This window comes from Homo sapiens, chromosome 16 (genome assembly GCF_000001405.40).
Source record: "Homo sapiens chromosome 16, GRCh38.p14 Primary Assembly".
Taxonomy (NCBI): domain Eukaryota; kingdom Metazoa; phylum Chordata; class Mammalia; order Primates; family Hominidae; genus Homo; species Homo sapiens.
This window is the reverse complement of record NC_000016.10, coordinates 9,393,972-9,409,454: the sequence shown is the minus strand read 5'-3', so window position 1 is coordinate 9,409,454 and position 15,483 is coordinate 9,393,972. Positions and strand designations below refer to the sequence as shown.

The window sequence follows — 15,483 nt, the reverse complement described above, 5'->3', positions numbered from 1 at the left end:
ATGGTTTGCTAAAAAACATAATAAATAAACAAATAAAATAAAATGAAATAAAAAGCCAGCCTATAGCAAGCAAATGAATTTTCAACAGCTCTCTTCAATCTGGCCTTTGCAGCTTACTGGGCTGTTTCATGTCATGGCCAAAGACACTGCCCTCCAGGTCTTTCCATAAATGGTGAGTTTGCCAATAGGGGTTCCTGAGACCACTACTGAATGTCTACATGTTTGTTTTTCATGGCTCCTGTAACTACCATGGGCTTTTGGGAGCCTATAAAGTGCTAGGTTTGTCTTACAGGAGCACACAACCTCCTCCTTACCAAGCCAAGCATGGCAAACCTTCTTGATGACCCTAACAAAAGTATCCACAACCATTCAGTCTCCATTAAATGGTGACTGATGAGGAAGGGACCCGGCTTAATTCTCTGCACTGTGCATCACGAGTTACAATCAGAACATGCTGCAAAGGGGCATATTTGCATGCTAACAGGGGCTTCCGGGCATGATTTTGCAGGAAATGTTCTCCCGGTGCTGCTGGAGTATTGTCTTTAAAAGATTTACTTGGAGGAGAACAGATTGGTATCAAGGAGCAGGCAGAATTTATACGAAGGATTTACAGGCTTGAGCTGAATGTGAGGAAGAGACCATTAAACAAACAGATCTGCTCAGAGACAGAAGAATGCAATACAAAAACCCAATGATATGTGTTCCAAAGGTAGTAACTGCACCCCTCACCAGCCAGGTGAGTGGGGCAGGTCAGTGCACAGGACTGAGTCCCAGTACCCTCCTCCTTAGGATAGAAGGGACGTCACAGCCATCGCAGGCAGCTGTTGTATTGATGCTTGGGGTATCTCTTCGTTTCTTTGTTCAAAGTGGGGCAATGTGTTTAGCAACAAATGTCTACTCCTCTCCGAGGATCAGCAGGGGATTAAGAGCCCAGAGATTTATAAATGTCACGGCTCACTATGCCTGGCAGCAAAGAGCCTGGAGCTGAGACGTTGAGTCCACAGACACAGCGGGAGTCTATCCCACACATTTGTGCAAGCAAGGACTCCCAGGGAAGATACTGGACTCAAACTCAGAGTCCCTCCAGACCCGGAAAATTTCCCAATTAAGTAGGTTATTTGAAGTAAATAAAGATAATAAAAGCTAACATCAATTATGTTCCTCAGCCCTGAGCACCTACTAAGCATTATATGGCTTATATCATGCATTCAACAAATATTTTTAAAAGGCTTACTGTGTGCCAGGAGCTGTCTAGGGAGACAGCAGCAAACCCAGAAGGTAAATATCCTTGCCTTCCTGAAGGTTACATTCTACTGGCATATTTCAGGGAGGGAGGAAAGGAGGTGAAAGGACCAGAGAAATAAATTACATAACTGTGCTTTAATATAAAGTACATAGTGTATAAGCATGCAAAATATGTCAAGTTGCTACAAACATTCAGAGAAAATATATCGAGAGAGAGGCATGGACAGAAAGGAGTGGGTAATTAAATAGGGTGGTCCAGAAAAGCCTCATTATACAGTATGCAAGTGAGGATTTACGGTGGGGGCAGATTTCTTGGGGAAAAGGTTCCAGGCAGAGGGATTGTATATTTGCAGTTGTACAACCATAACCACATCGATTTTAGAACATTTTCATCGCCCCAAAAGGAAACCTCATACCCCTTAGCACTTCTCTCATTTCTCCCCCTCTCTCCCTCCACCACCTCTGGCCACCACTAATCTGTTTTCTGTCTTTACGGGTGACTTTTGTATTTAAAGGATGAAGCATAGAGAAGAGATTACAGAAGATGCGAGGTAAAAGAAGGGGACCACTTATAAGGCTGTTGTCATGAATCAGGCAATCCTCACTGAAATTCTGTGAGAATTCTATTATTATACCCACTTTACAGATGAGGAAACTGAGGCTCTGAAATGTTGACTTGCCTAAAGTCTCATGGCTAGAGAGGAGCAGTGCCAGGAACTGAGACCCAGTCTGTCAACCTTGGGCAGCCAACCATTACTCGTCCTGCCTTGAGGGATTTGTGTTCCTGGTCCCCCCCTCCCTCCCTAATAGGATTAAACATTTCCTTCCTCGGTCATTGCTCTGCAGTACTCCCCTGGTAAAGTAGGTGGAGGACTTTCCCTGCCTATTGAAGTTGAGTTTGGACCTGTGGCTGGCTTTGGCCTATAGGATGTTAGGCTTTAAAAGTGTTCACGTGGTTGGCATGCCCTCTTACGCTTCTGCAAAACCATGAAATTAAAATCCCAGGTAGCACTGGCACCAAAAGAAGGTGACACGTACAGAAGACTTGGGTCCAACCCTGGTCCTGGAGGCAGGTCCAGCTAATTCCAGCCTACATCTGCCAAATTCCAACCCACCTACAGCCTCATGAATGAGAAAAATAACGTTTAAGGTATTAAGCCACCAAGATTTGGGCATGGTTGTTACACAGTGTTATTTTAGTAGACACTGACTAATCTACAAACAAACTACAAACAAACCTCAAATCTTTGCAGCCTCTTTTGGATAATAAAGCAGCAAGCTAACTAGCGGTATTTTGGTTTCCAAAGCTTTTTTGGATCCACATTCTCGTTGAGCCCTCACAGCAAACCTATAAACTGAATGCTTTCATTCTCCTTTTTATAGAGTGGAATCCTGATGTTCAGAGATGCAAAGCCTCTCGCTTCAATTTGTAAAGGTCGAATGCACAATCCAGGTCTCTGCAAATCTTCCAACCTCAAGTCCAGCCCTCCACTGTCTTTCAACCTCCATCCTCTCTCCTGAAGTGTTCATTATTATTATTTTATAATTGATTAACAAGCGCACCGAAAGGAATCCAGCAAAAATGCCTGATGGCTCAGAATTTAAACAGCTCCCACTAAACCTGATCATTCAGTTTAAGACCTGCTCCCTCCCAGCCCCCACTGCTCAGCTCAGTGAGGGTTTTTCAGCACAGCTTTTATCAAGCTGCATTTTAATTGCTCAGCTTCCACATCCATCTTCCCCACTGGACTAAGCTTTCAAAGAAAAAGGGCCAACCACTTTTCATCTCCAATACCCAGTGCTTTTCACACGGTCTGACCCAGGACAAGTATAATTTTTCAGTAGATTCATTCAAAGGTAGCAATTCATTTTCCAATATTCAGTTCAACTCAATGTGCATTTGATTAAGCACTGGTTGTAAAATGGAGACACTGATACCCCACAGAGGAGTGTTGTTAAGCATTCCATTTGATCCTGCAGATTTTATCCTACTGACCTTGCACCAGAGACATTTTACCCTACCCTGCATTGGTTTAGCCATCACTATGCCAGCAGACTGTGTGTGTACATGTGTTTGCATATGTACATGAGTGTTTGTATGTGTTTATATCTGAATCTGTACGTGTATATGCCTATGTATGGGCATATGTGTGTCTGTGTGTGCATACATTTGCACAAGTGTGTATACATGTGGCTGTGTGTGTGCATATGTATCTCTGTGTGCATGCTGTCTACATGTGCATATTTATGGGTATTTGTGTATATATGTATGTGTGTGGCTGTGTGCATGTGTGGACATGTGCATAGTGTCTTCATGTGCATGTCTATGTGTGCATATATGTGTGTTTGTGTATATGTGTAACTGCATGTATACGCATATGCATGTGTATGTCTGTGTGTTCATGTGCATGTCTATGTGTGCATGTGTGTGTATGTGTAACTGTGCATGTATACGCATATGCATGAGTATGTCTGTGTGTTCATGTGCATGTCTATGTGTGCATATATGTGTGTTTGTGTATATGTGTAACTCTGCATGTATACACATATGCATGAGTATGTGTGTTCATGTGCATGTCTATGTGTGCATATATGTGTGGTCTTTAATTTTTAGTTGATGCATAATAATTATACATATTTATGGGATACAGAGTGATTTTTCAATACATTTATACAATGTGTAATGATCAAATCAGAGTAGCATATCCATCACCTCAAACATTTATCATTTATTTGTGCTGTGAACATTCAAGATCCTCTCTTCTGGCTTTTTGAAAATATACACTAAGTTATTGTTAACCATATTCATCCTACAGTATACAGAACAGTCAAAATTATCTCTCATTCAGCTGTAACTTTGTATCCACCAACCAGCCTCTCCCTATCTTCTCTTCCTCTACTCTTCCCAGCATCTAATAACCACAATTCTACCCTCTACATGTGTGAGCACAAATATAATAACTCCCGTGTATGAATGTGAACACATATATAGGTGTTTGCACCTACAGGTGTATCTGTGACTATGCGTATGTTAGTGCATGTGTATATATGCCTCTGTGTATGTGCATGCTTGTGTGTATATGTGTGTGGCTGTGTGCATGCGTGTTTATGTATATGTGTATGCCTGTGTGCATGCATGTGTGCTTACATATATGTGTGTGGTGTGTGCACGCATGTGTTTGTGTATACGTGTGGCTGTGTGCACGCATGTGTGTTTGTGTATACGTGTGTGGCTGTGTGCATGCATGTGCATGTGCAATGTGTGTCTGCATGTTCAAGTCTGTGCATGTGTGTGTGCTGTCTCCATCTTCTCTTCTCCTCCACTTTCTCTCCTGTCTCCATCAATCTCTGCTTCTCACAGTCTTTTTATCAAATAGATAAACTGTCAGTCTTTGATTAAATCATATGTGAATATCATTCTTTCCACCTACAAATATTTATGGAGTACTTTCTTTCTTTTTTTTTTAAATGGAGTTTCGCTCTGTCACCCAGGCTGGAGTGCAGTGGTGTGACTTCACCTCACCACAACCTCTGCCTCCTGGGTTCAAGTGATTCTCTGCCTCAGCCTCCCGAGTAGCTGGGACTACAGGTGCCCGCCACCATGCCTGGCTAATGTTTTGTATTTTTAGTACAGACGGGGTTTCACCATGTTGGCCAGGCTGGTCTCAAACTCCTGACCTCAAGTGATCCACCTGCCTTGGCTTCCCAAAGTGCAAGGATTACAGGCGTGAGTCACTGCGCCTGGCCATATGGAGCACTTTCTATGTGCCATGCACTAAGTCTCAAGTATAAGGCAGGAAAAAAAAAAAAACAAAAAAAAAAAGGGACAGAAATCCTGCCTTTGCAGAGTTTTCATTCTGGTGATTATTTCTACCACGTATTACTGGTATGGTAAAAGTGATCAGCAACTAACAAAACTAGCAGGGTTAAAATGACTAGAATGTGTAATGAGCTAAAATTGACAGGGAAAAAAAACAGGTATCACTAATAACAAAATTTAAATCTACAAAATTTGATCCAGACGATTTTCACTTAATAGAAAGAATGGCCACAAAAGAATCAAACACACAAACAAGAAAACCTCTCCAAATAGCAGAAGTCAGAATCAGCAAAAAGATGGTATATAAAAAGAGACTGATGAGTCAAATGCCTGTTGTAAATTTAAACAGAAAATAATTGATCCCATGAAAATAATGTTACTACAAATAGACATTCTAATGGAAAAAAAATGGAAATGATTGAGTCGAGCTGTATAAAAAATTAAACTCTGGATTAAAATGGCTTAATGAAATTTGCTCTGCAAAACAGGTTGTTCCAAAAAATTAATGTCACAAGAATTCTCGCATGGATGTTTGCATTAAAGATGTACAAAAGGCTGAAACAATGGGGTAAAAATTGAGGAAGGTACACAATAGTCTTCATCTGTGTCATATAATGCATTGATAGACACAGCCCTAGGCTAGTCAGTGAGGATATGAGAGCTTTTTGGAGCACTAGCAGCATCAGATTGGAGTGTGATGAGAAGCTGCTGACTTAGCCTCTCTGCCCCATCCTTTTTAAGTGTTACTGTGTATCTAAGTTACAATCTTGTTAAAATGCAGATTTTGATGCAGCAGGTCTGGTTCTCTCAGAAGATTCTGCATTTCTAACAAGCTCCCAGGTGATGCAGATGCTGCCTCGTCTGCAGACCACACTTTGAGGTCTCTTCTGACACTTTGTGCTGGGATGACAGCTGCTCAGGGGCTGGAGCAGTCCTCACCACTCCCAGCCCTTGGATCACCTGCCTTCTTTGCATGGTCTCTCCCTGGAAAGGTGGCTGGCGTGGTCTTGCATACTTCCAAAATCTGCAATGCAACTCGATCGCCAGGTCCCGAGCCCTTAATGAGCCAGCCCTTGATGTGAGTGTCAATCCTGCCATTTGCCTTGGTTTGACCCTCACTCCCCAATCAGGGAATGTTCAGGGATTTACTAATATAATCCTCTTCATGATTGCACGGGAAGAGAGCAAGGCTTAATCTAAGGGAAGGAATCACTAGGAGTAGAAGCAGTCTGGTGAGGTAAAACAAGTCTAGACTCCGAAAGCTGCGAGTTCTCCATTCAAATGCTGACTCTTCCACTTACAGGTCTTAGGAAAGCCAGGTGTCCCTTTGGGCCTTAGTTTTCTCATCTGTGTAATGGAAATATGAAGGTGGAATGAGAAATTTCATATAAAACACACAGCACATAGCAGGTGTGATGTTCAGTACATATTGGTTTCTATCTGCACCAAAGATGAATTCAGGTCCCTGCAGCATATGAGGGTGAGTTACTCGAGAGGTTTGAGTTTTCCTGGCACCCTCTAAATTGCATTCATAAGCAGATGCCAATGACTGAATCACAAGTCTAGCTGGGATGGGTGTCCAGAGGTTGACACTGCAGAAACATGGAGCACAGGAACAGAACATTTTTTAAGATGAGACTCACTTTCTTCTTGCAAAAGGAAAACAATGCCAGCTTTGGCAGACATCAGCAGTCAGCTCCTGTCTCCAGACTAGAACTGACTCGTCCAGGGGCCTTGGGCTCGCTACCAAATTGGTCTTGGGGCCACTTTAAGAAAACAAAAATAACACAGCAAGTCAAGTGTATTTTCCCCTTTTTCTGCTGCCAACGAATCTCAAATGAGTTTCAAAGTACTTAGAATTCAGAAGGGTGGGAGCCTTCAAGCTCTTGGCCATGGTCCTGAATCTGAAATTTTGGAACATCAGTTCCCAGGGGTGGACACAGACCATAGGCGCAGAACAAAGACAGTGCTCACCTGCAACACCCTTGGTGAGAGAGTCCTCCACCACCCAGAGAAGGGAAAACCCGTGGCACAAACTGGAACCCACTGGGTTCTGATGATGATATGTGATTGTAGATAGGACAGTGGAGTCAGAACAATGCCTTTGAAGTTATACTGACCAGGGCTCAAACTCAACCCTGACACTTCCTGGCAGTGTGTCGTTGGCTGAGCTGAGTCATTTTACGTCTCTGAGTCTCTATTTCCACATCTGTAAAATGGATATAATAGCACCTACCTCATAGGGTGTTGTGAGGATTGAATGAGTTATTATGCATAAAATTCTTTGCATAGGATCTAGTCTACAGAAGAGTTGCCTTAGCCAGGGTTCCCACCATGGAAAGTAACCCCTGAGGCAAGAGTTTGGGGCAGGCAGTTTGCTTGGGGAAGTGATCCCAGGGGACAGGAATGCAGGACAAGGACTGGTGGAACAGAGAAGGAGAGAAATACATAAAGGATATGTCCTTGGTTGGTCACCACCATGAGCAGATAGGGTTCCATATCACCAGGATTTTCAGAGGTGCTATCTGCCCCAAAGCCATAAGAAGGGATCATTGATCTATTCCCATGGTAGAAGGCACTCTCCCACATGTTCAGATTTTCTGTACCTTAGTGTCTGGAGGATCGTCATGGGCATCCTACAAGACAGCCTCATAGAAGCCCTGGGGCAGAAAGCAAGAGGAGAAATACTCTAAGTTTGCACACAAACAAAGTAGAATGCTGCAGCAATTGTTGGAGTAGTAAATGAGCCAAAGAGGTAACATGGAGAACATGTATTCAATACAGAATTCAAAAATGTTAGTGTACCAATGAAGGTGATGCTAATGATGATGATGGTGATGATGGAGGTGACAAGGATGATGATGATAGTGGTGATGATGATGATGATGGAGATTATGATGATAATGGTGATGGAGGTGATAATGAAGGTGATGATGATGGTGATGGAGGTGATGATGGTGATGGAGGTAATGATGAAGGTGGTGATGATAAAGGTGATGATGATGATGATGATGGAGATTATGATAATGGTGATGGAGGTGATAATGAAGGTGATGATGGTGATGGAGGTGATGATGATGAAGGTGATGATGGTGATGGAGGTAATGATGAAGGTGGTGATGATAAAGGTGATAATGATGAAGATGACAGTGATGATGGAGGTTATGATGGTGGAAGTGCTGACAGTGATGGAGGTGATGATGAAGATGATGATGGAGGTGATTATGAGGATGGTGATGAAGGTGATGATAATGATGATATGTCAAAGAGACCCGCTTATCTTCTTGTATTTCCTCTTATTCAACTGATTACCTGGTGAGGTTAGAAATACCTTAGGATTCTAAGCCCTGTGATATAATAACTCTTCTACTTGCTTTGTGACCTAAGCCAATTCATCTCACTCTGTGGCTCCCTGGCATACTACAAAGCACTGATGTTTTTCCTGTGTCTCTCTCCTTCCTTCCTCTTCATCCCCGTCTTGGTATCTGTAAGCCAGGACAGCACACTGGTTGCCAGAAGCCAATTATATCCCTATCCATGGATGCAATTTCCAGTTACTGGACTAGATACTATAGTTTCACCTATACACTTGATCTCACTATCTACTCATCTCCAGAAACTGCCCCATTTCCAAAACATATAAAGAGGAAAAGATTAATATGTATTGAGCTATGACAATGTCCTACCTGTCTGATGCGTTTAGCAAAAGCATATTGGCAAATAGTAACAGATATGTTTCTAATCCTCTCCCTAATTTCCTAATGATGCTTCTGCCAGCCTGGGATGCCAGGACTTTCTTTGTTCTCTGCTTCAGGGAAAGAATGTTACATAAGAAATTCAGAAAGAGGAGGAGAATCAGTTCCATGATTTTGAGTTTCAAGACAAGCTTTTGAAACTTGCTTCTGTGTTTCAGAAACAGGAGCTTCAGAAACAGTTTTCTGCATTCTGAAATCCTAAGTTTTGACCATCAGAAATCAAGACCCTGTAAGACTCTAGGCACAGAAATTGTGCCGTTAATAATAGATTCGGGAGAATTGATCATCAATCAGAGTGTATTTTTCTGCCTTCAAGGAGTCAGAGATTGCAAGGATTGAGTTCAGTTAGGGAGAAGAGCAAGGAAGATTACATGCTGCTATATCCCTGAGAAGAGATTTTGAACCCTGCCCCATTACTCTCCCAGGTCAAATCTCAGGAGAACACAACCAAAGGAAAGAGAATATGCTTGAGGAACTGAAAGCAAAGACCTGTTTCTTGTTCTCCAGGTGAAGGTTCAGAGGGAGTAAGTCCTAAAATGCCCCCCAACAATTCTTACCTCCTGAAGTTCGCAACCTGTGTAAACCAATCCCTTGGTATATGGGTTGACGGGTTGGAATTATTGACTTGTTTTTCATGAATAGAGTATGGCAGAAGCAGTGGGATTCACTTCCAAGATCAGATTACAAAAAGACCGTTGCTTCTGTCTTGGGTCATCTTTCTCTTTCTCTCTCTCGCTCTCTCTCTCTCTTGCTCTCGCTCGCTCGCTCGCTCCATCTCTCTACCCGCCCCCCACCCCAGGAAAGCAAGCTGCCAGCTGTCCTATGGAGTCATCATTGTTGCAAGGAATTGATGTCTGGACCTCTGCAGCAGGGATTTCTGCAACCCCAGCTGATGCCTTGATTACAGCTTCTTAGGAGTCCCTGAGCCAGAGGCACTCAGCTAAGCTGCATGCAAATTCTTGACCTGTAGAAACTGCGATAATAAATGTTGGGGTTTTTTTTTAAGTGATACTTCCAGGCAATATTTTATGCAGCAATAGATAACCAATGCAGAATGGAAGGTGTCCAGTACAGGCCCTGGGGTAGCCTTTGAGCCCCCATCCAGCACAGGTTGGCTCTGGGAATGTCCATATCATTTCTTTTGGGATGAAATCAGCATACACATGTCAATAAGAACCAGAAAAGTGGACAGGCTCAGCTGTCAGTGTAAGAGTATGTGAAAGAGACTAAATTAAGACACAGAAAGGAAAAAGGGAGCACTTATTGCATGGCCAATTTGTGACCTCAGTTTCTTATTGCCAAAAATATATCGTCTCCTTTAAGACCCACAACAGTTCCATGAGGTCAGTTTTACCATCTCACCTCTTTTACTCTTAACTCTGCTCAGAGAGGTAAAGCGCCTTCTCTCAGATAACGCAGCTAGAAAGTGGGGGAGCTGTGATTCGAACTGCGGTCACTTGACTCTGAACTTGAGCTTGGAGCCATCCTTAAGGAGGAAGCTCAAATCTGGCTTCCCCGGTTCTGATCCTCGGGGTTATCTGTGGATTCATTTTGGACCCACAATGTGTGGTACCAGCTTAGATCTAGTCCTGAGACTCCAACCCTAGCTTTTGTTTTCTGGGATCCTCAAATATTGTCCAGCTGACTTATTCATTTGTTATCCAAATGATCCTCCTTGTTCAGAAAGAAGAAATAACCAACTCCCCAGACACCTAGAGATAAAGCAGTTGCCTGCTTAGAATGGTAATGGTCTACGAACTTATTAACAGGAGACAAGCCAAAATCATTTGGTCTCTCCCTCTCAGTTCTTTTATCACCCCTTTATCAGAAGCTGTCTTTTCTAATTTTAGCAGTTCACTAATGGTAAGTGGTACTAGGTTGTTAAGGAATTTTAGAGCTGTTCTCACTGCAGCATGAAAAAAATGCCTCAGAGAAGGGCTTAGGGATTTTGAGTCCACTGGACAAGTGCCAATAAACAGCTGCATGCCTCAGTCAGTCAGGATGAGCCAGGTTTTAGTCCAGTAACAAACAGCCCTCAAATCTCCGTAGTTTAACACAAGAAAATTTTATTTCTCAATTATACTACATGAACCACTGAATCAGCAGGGCATTCTGCTCTACATAGTCACTCAGACCTCCAGGCTGTAGGAGGCCCCACCAGCTTGTAGATCTGGATATGTGACCTCCTTATCTGCTACAGCTAGGAAAGAAAGAGAGAAGCATGCTCCATCTCTAACGCACTTCAGCCCAGAAGCAATATACATCATTTCAAGCCTGAATGAGTAGCATGGTTCCACCTAACTCCAAAGGATCTGGTAAACATGGTCTTGCACATGTACAGGAAAGAAAGGAGAACAGGTACTGGTGAGAGCTAGCAATGTCTACCACAGTGAGACCACCATTCCCACCAGAGATGAAACACTCTCGCTTAAGATGGACACGGACATGCACAAGGAAGCAAGGACTTTCTTTTTATTTCTTTCTCCATCAAGGAACAAAATAGCTCCAAGCCTCATGGAGCCCTGGAACATCTCCTCCATTCATTCTAGTATAGAACCATACTTAGTTGTAATTGGCAATTTGTAAAGTCAAAGACTGTTAGACCTTAGAAGGACCCTCAGGATTATCAAGTCAGGTCTTATTTGGTGCAATTGAGGATATAAAGATCCAGAGAGGAATGGGAAGTATCTAGAATTATACTTTTATTCACTTTCTTAAGAAACATTTTTGAGCACCTGTTACATTCCAGGGACTCAAATTTTAAAACAGGAATAGAGAAATAAGGAAGATAATGGCATTGTCCTCAAAACATCCAAGGAAGCCCATTAGGGAGACTGACATGAAGGCAAGTAAATAGGCAAATAAATGAAGAGCTGTGTGTGTGTGTGTGTGTGTGTGTGTGTGTGTGTGTGTGTGTGTCAAAGACAGAGAGAGAGGAAGGTAAAACGGAGAGATTGATTCAAGGTCCCATGAGGGAATAGAGAAACAGGAAGGAAGATGGCAAATCTGCCATCCCATCCAAATACATTTTAGAGGGGAGGTGATGCCAAGAGAACTTTTTCTCCTTCTAACTTTTAGTTTAGATTTGGGGGTACATACACACGCTTGTTACATGGGTAAACTGCCTATTGCTGGGGTTTGGTGCACAAATTATTTCCTTTCCCAGGTAATAAGCATAGTACCCAATACGTAATTTTTTTTATCCTTACCCTCCTCCAACCTTCCACCCTCACGCAGCTCTGGCGTCTGTTGTTCCCTTCTTTGTGTCCACATGTACTCAATATTTAGCTCCCACTTATAAGTGAGAACATGTGGTATTTGTTTTTCTGTTCCTGAATTAATTTGCTTAGGATAATGGCCTTCGGCTGCATCCATATTGTGGCAAAGGACATGATTTTGTTCTTTTTTATGGCTGTGTAGTATTCCATCGTGTATATATACCACATTTGCTTTGTCCAATCCAACACTGATGGGTGCCTAGGTTGATTCCATGTCTTTGCTACTGGGAATGGTGCTGTGATGAACATATGTGTGCATCTGTCTTTATGGCAGAACCATTTATATTCCTTTGGGTATACACTCAATAATGGGATCGTTGTGTCAAATGGTAGTTCTGTTTTAAGTTCTTTGAGAAATCTCCAAACTGCTTTCAACAGGGGGTGAACTAATTTACATTCTCATCAATAGTATATAAGCATAGCCTTTTGTCTGCAACCTCGCCAGAATCTGTTACTTTTTGACTTTTTAGGAATAGCCATTCTGACTGGTGTGAGGTGGTATCTCATTGTAGTTTTGATTTGCATTTCTGTCATGATTAGTAATGTTGAGCATTTTTTCATATGCTTCTTGGCCACTTGTATGTCTTCTTTGAGAAGTATCTATTCACATCCTTTGTCCATTTTTAATGGGGTTGTTTGTTTTTTGCTTGTTGATTTGTTTAAGTTTCTTATAGATTCTGGATATTATACCATTGTCAGATGCATAGTGTGTAAATATTTTCTCCCATTCTGTAGGTTGTCTGTTTATTCTGTTGGTAGTTTCCTTTGCTGTGCAGAAGCTCTTTAGTTTAATTAAGTCCCAGCCAAGTGAAATTTTGAAGCAAGGAGGAGTTCACCAGGTTTGGGTGGAACAGGCATTCCAGGCCTGGGGGATAGCATGAGCAAAGGCAATTTTCAGATTCAGTTATTGCATCCAGGTCTCTGATATCAGATTTCATATGCCCTCCCCTACATCCCAGGACCTAACACAGTATCTGTCATATAACAGGTGTTCGACCAATGCATGCTGAACTGAGCAAATGTGTCTCCCTATGTCTCAAGGTTATCCAGAAGACACTGTTGACTGAAGCTTGTGTGATAGCCACATAAGGCGTCGACCCAGGGCTTTATGTGGCTGTAAGGTGCTTCCTCAGGTGTTCCTGGCAGGTGGGGCCCAGAGGAAGGCAGGGGACACAAAGTGCTGATATGGGAACTTCACAGCATTCTGAGGCCTCACCGCTGGAAAACTCCCCATTTCTAAACTTAGCACAGAGCACTGGTGCATTTGCCTCCTGCATGAGAGGTGATTTATTTACCCTCACCTCTGCTTATGTGTTAAGCCTGTTGTAGCAGTGTTTGCTGCAGTTAAACACAGAGTGTGTTGTGTAAACAGTACTGTAATTATGGCATAGACAGAGGGAAAATTCTAAGTTCAATCACATTTAGTCTTGTTGGCCAGAAAAAGTGTCTCAGCTGCTGAAGTTAAGGGAAAGGGAAATAGTTTTCATCACTGGTTTTTAAAATGTTTTTTTAAAAATGATCCCTTATCAGGAAAAAAACAGTAATGTTTTTGCTGCCAGGAGTATTCTAGAAAGCCTGCTTCACATTCCTCTTGACAGCAGAGAAAAGGTAGCAAGCACATCCTTTGGTTATTTATAAGAAAAAACATTTCCCCTCTGGAGCCAAAGAGACCCAGCAAAAGTGTTAACCTGAGCCTTCAGATGGAGACTAACCTCTGTTAAAGCAGGTATCAATTAACAGCCACGAATAAATGCTTATAATGAGGGGAAAGGTCATTTATTGTTTAGAAGGAAAAGAAAACCCTTGTCCTTGACCCGTAGTAAATTAGGATGCGTCTTAGGAGTTGAGTCCCATCTCTCTCTCCCACTGCAAGAAGCCCTTGCGGGGATCCCTACGGCAATCTCCATGACCCCCTTAGAATAGAGTCTGCCTATCTCTAAAAGATAAATCAACACCAGAACTCACCCTGGTATTCTACAGCACTGTGGGGCAAAAATGGATAACTATAATTTATTGTATATTTGAGAAAGCAAGAAGAGAGGATTTTGAATGTTCACAACACAAAGAAATGGTTCATATTGGAGATGGCAGATATGCTAATTACCCTGATTTGTATCATTATACATCGAATACACCTACTGAAATATCACTCTGTACCTGACGGACGCGTACAATTATTAGGTGCCAAATAAAAATAAAAGGAAAAAATTACAAAGTAAAGACAATAAATAAATTTTAAAAAATGAAAATGAACAAAAATAAATCAGTTAAGGAAGTGTCTCTCTCATCCATCTCCCGCCTGTCCTCATCCTTGTGTCTCTACCTTTGTAATTTCTAAACCAGGTCCTTTACTCAGAATACCTAGTAGAGGCGAAGAGATGTTATTGCTTTAAAATAAAAAGATGGAGACAAAGAAAGGGAAGGAGGGAGCAACGGAGGGTGGGAGGGAGGGGAGAGGGAAGCAGGAAGCGAGGGAGGGAGGGAGGGAGGAAGGGACAGAAGCAGGCAGCAAGGGAGGGAGGAAGAGAGGGAGGTAGGAAGGGGAGGAAGCAGGATGGGAAGGAAGCAGGAAGGGAGGGAGGAAGGGAAGAAGAAAGGGAGAAGGGAGGAAGGAAGGGAGGGAGAGAGGAAGGGAGGGAGAAAGGAAGGGAAGGAGGCAGGATGGGAGGGAGGGAGCAAAGGAGTGAGGCAGGAAGGGAGGGAGAGTGGAAGGGAGGGAAGGAGGAAGTGAGGGTGGAAGGGAGGGAAGCAGGAAGGGAGGGAGGGTGGAAGGGAGGGAAGCAGGAAGGGAGGGAGGGTGGAAGGGAGGGAAGCAGGAAGGGAGGGAGAAAGAGAGGAAGCGAAGAAGAATGGGAGAGAGGGAGAAAGGGAGGGAGGAAGGAAGGGAGGAAGGGAAGGAGGCAGGAAGGGAGGGAGGGAAGGAGGCAGGAAGGGAAGGAGGCAGGAAGGGAGGGAGGGAAGGAGGCAGGAAGGGAAGGAGGCAGGAAGGGAGGGAGGGAAGGAGGCAGGAAGGGAAGGAGGCAGGAAGGGAAGGAGGCAGGAAGGGAGGGAGGGAAGGAGGCAGGAAGGGAGGGAGGGAAGGAGGCAGGAAGGGAAGGAGGCAGGAAGGGAAGGAGGCAGGAAGGGAAGGAGGCAGGAAGGGAGGGAGGGAGGCAGGAAGGGAGGGAGGCAGAAGGAAGGGAGGGAAGGAGAGAGGGAGGGAGGGAAGCAGGAAGGGAGGAAAGGTGGAAGGGAGGGAGGGAAGAAGGAAGGGAAGCAGGAAGGCAGGGAGGGAGGGAGGGAGGAAGGGAGGGAAGCAGGAAGGGAGGGAGGGAGGGAAGAAGGGGGATGGGGAAGGGAGACAGGAAGGGGGAGGGAAGGGGAGGGGAGAGAAGGGCGTGCTGTT

The 15,483-nt window shown here is 43.5% G+C and overlaps 1 long non-coding RNA gene across 1 annotated transcript in view; it reads right to left on the bottom strand.

Moving 5' to 3' along the window:
- Nucleotides 1–1,361: 1,361 nt before the first annotated feature.
- LINC02177 (long intergenic non-protein coding RNA 2177) overlaps nucleotides 1,362–15,483 on the bottom strand; it is a 52,506-nt gene continuing 38,384 nt past the window's right edge. Inside the window, exons 2-3 of the long non-coding RNA NR_135195.1 lie at nucleotides 7,672–7,725; nucleotides 1,362–6,412 (exon numbers count right to left, since the gene is read on the bottom strand). This is a non-coding gene — a long non-coding RNA (long intergenic non-protein coding RNA 2177). The remainder of the gene's footprint in view (nucleotides 6,413–7,671; nucleotides 7,726–15,483) is intronic.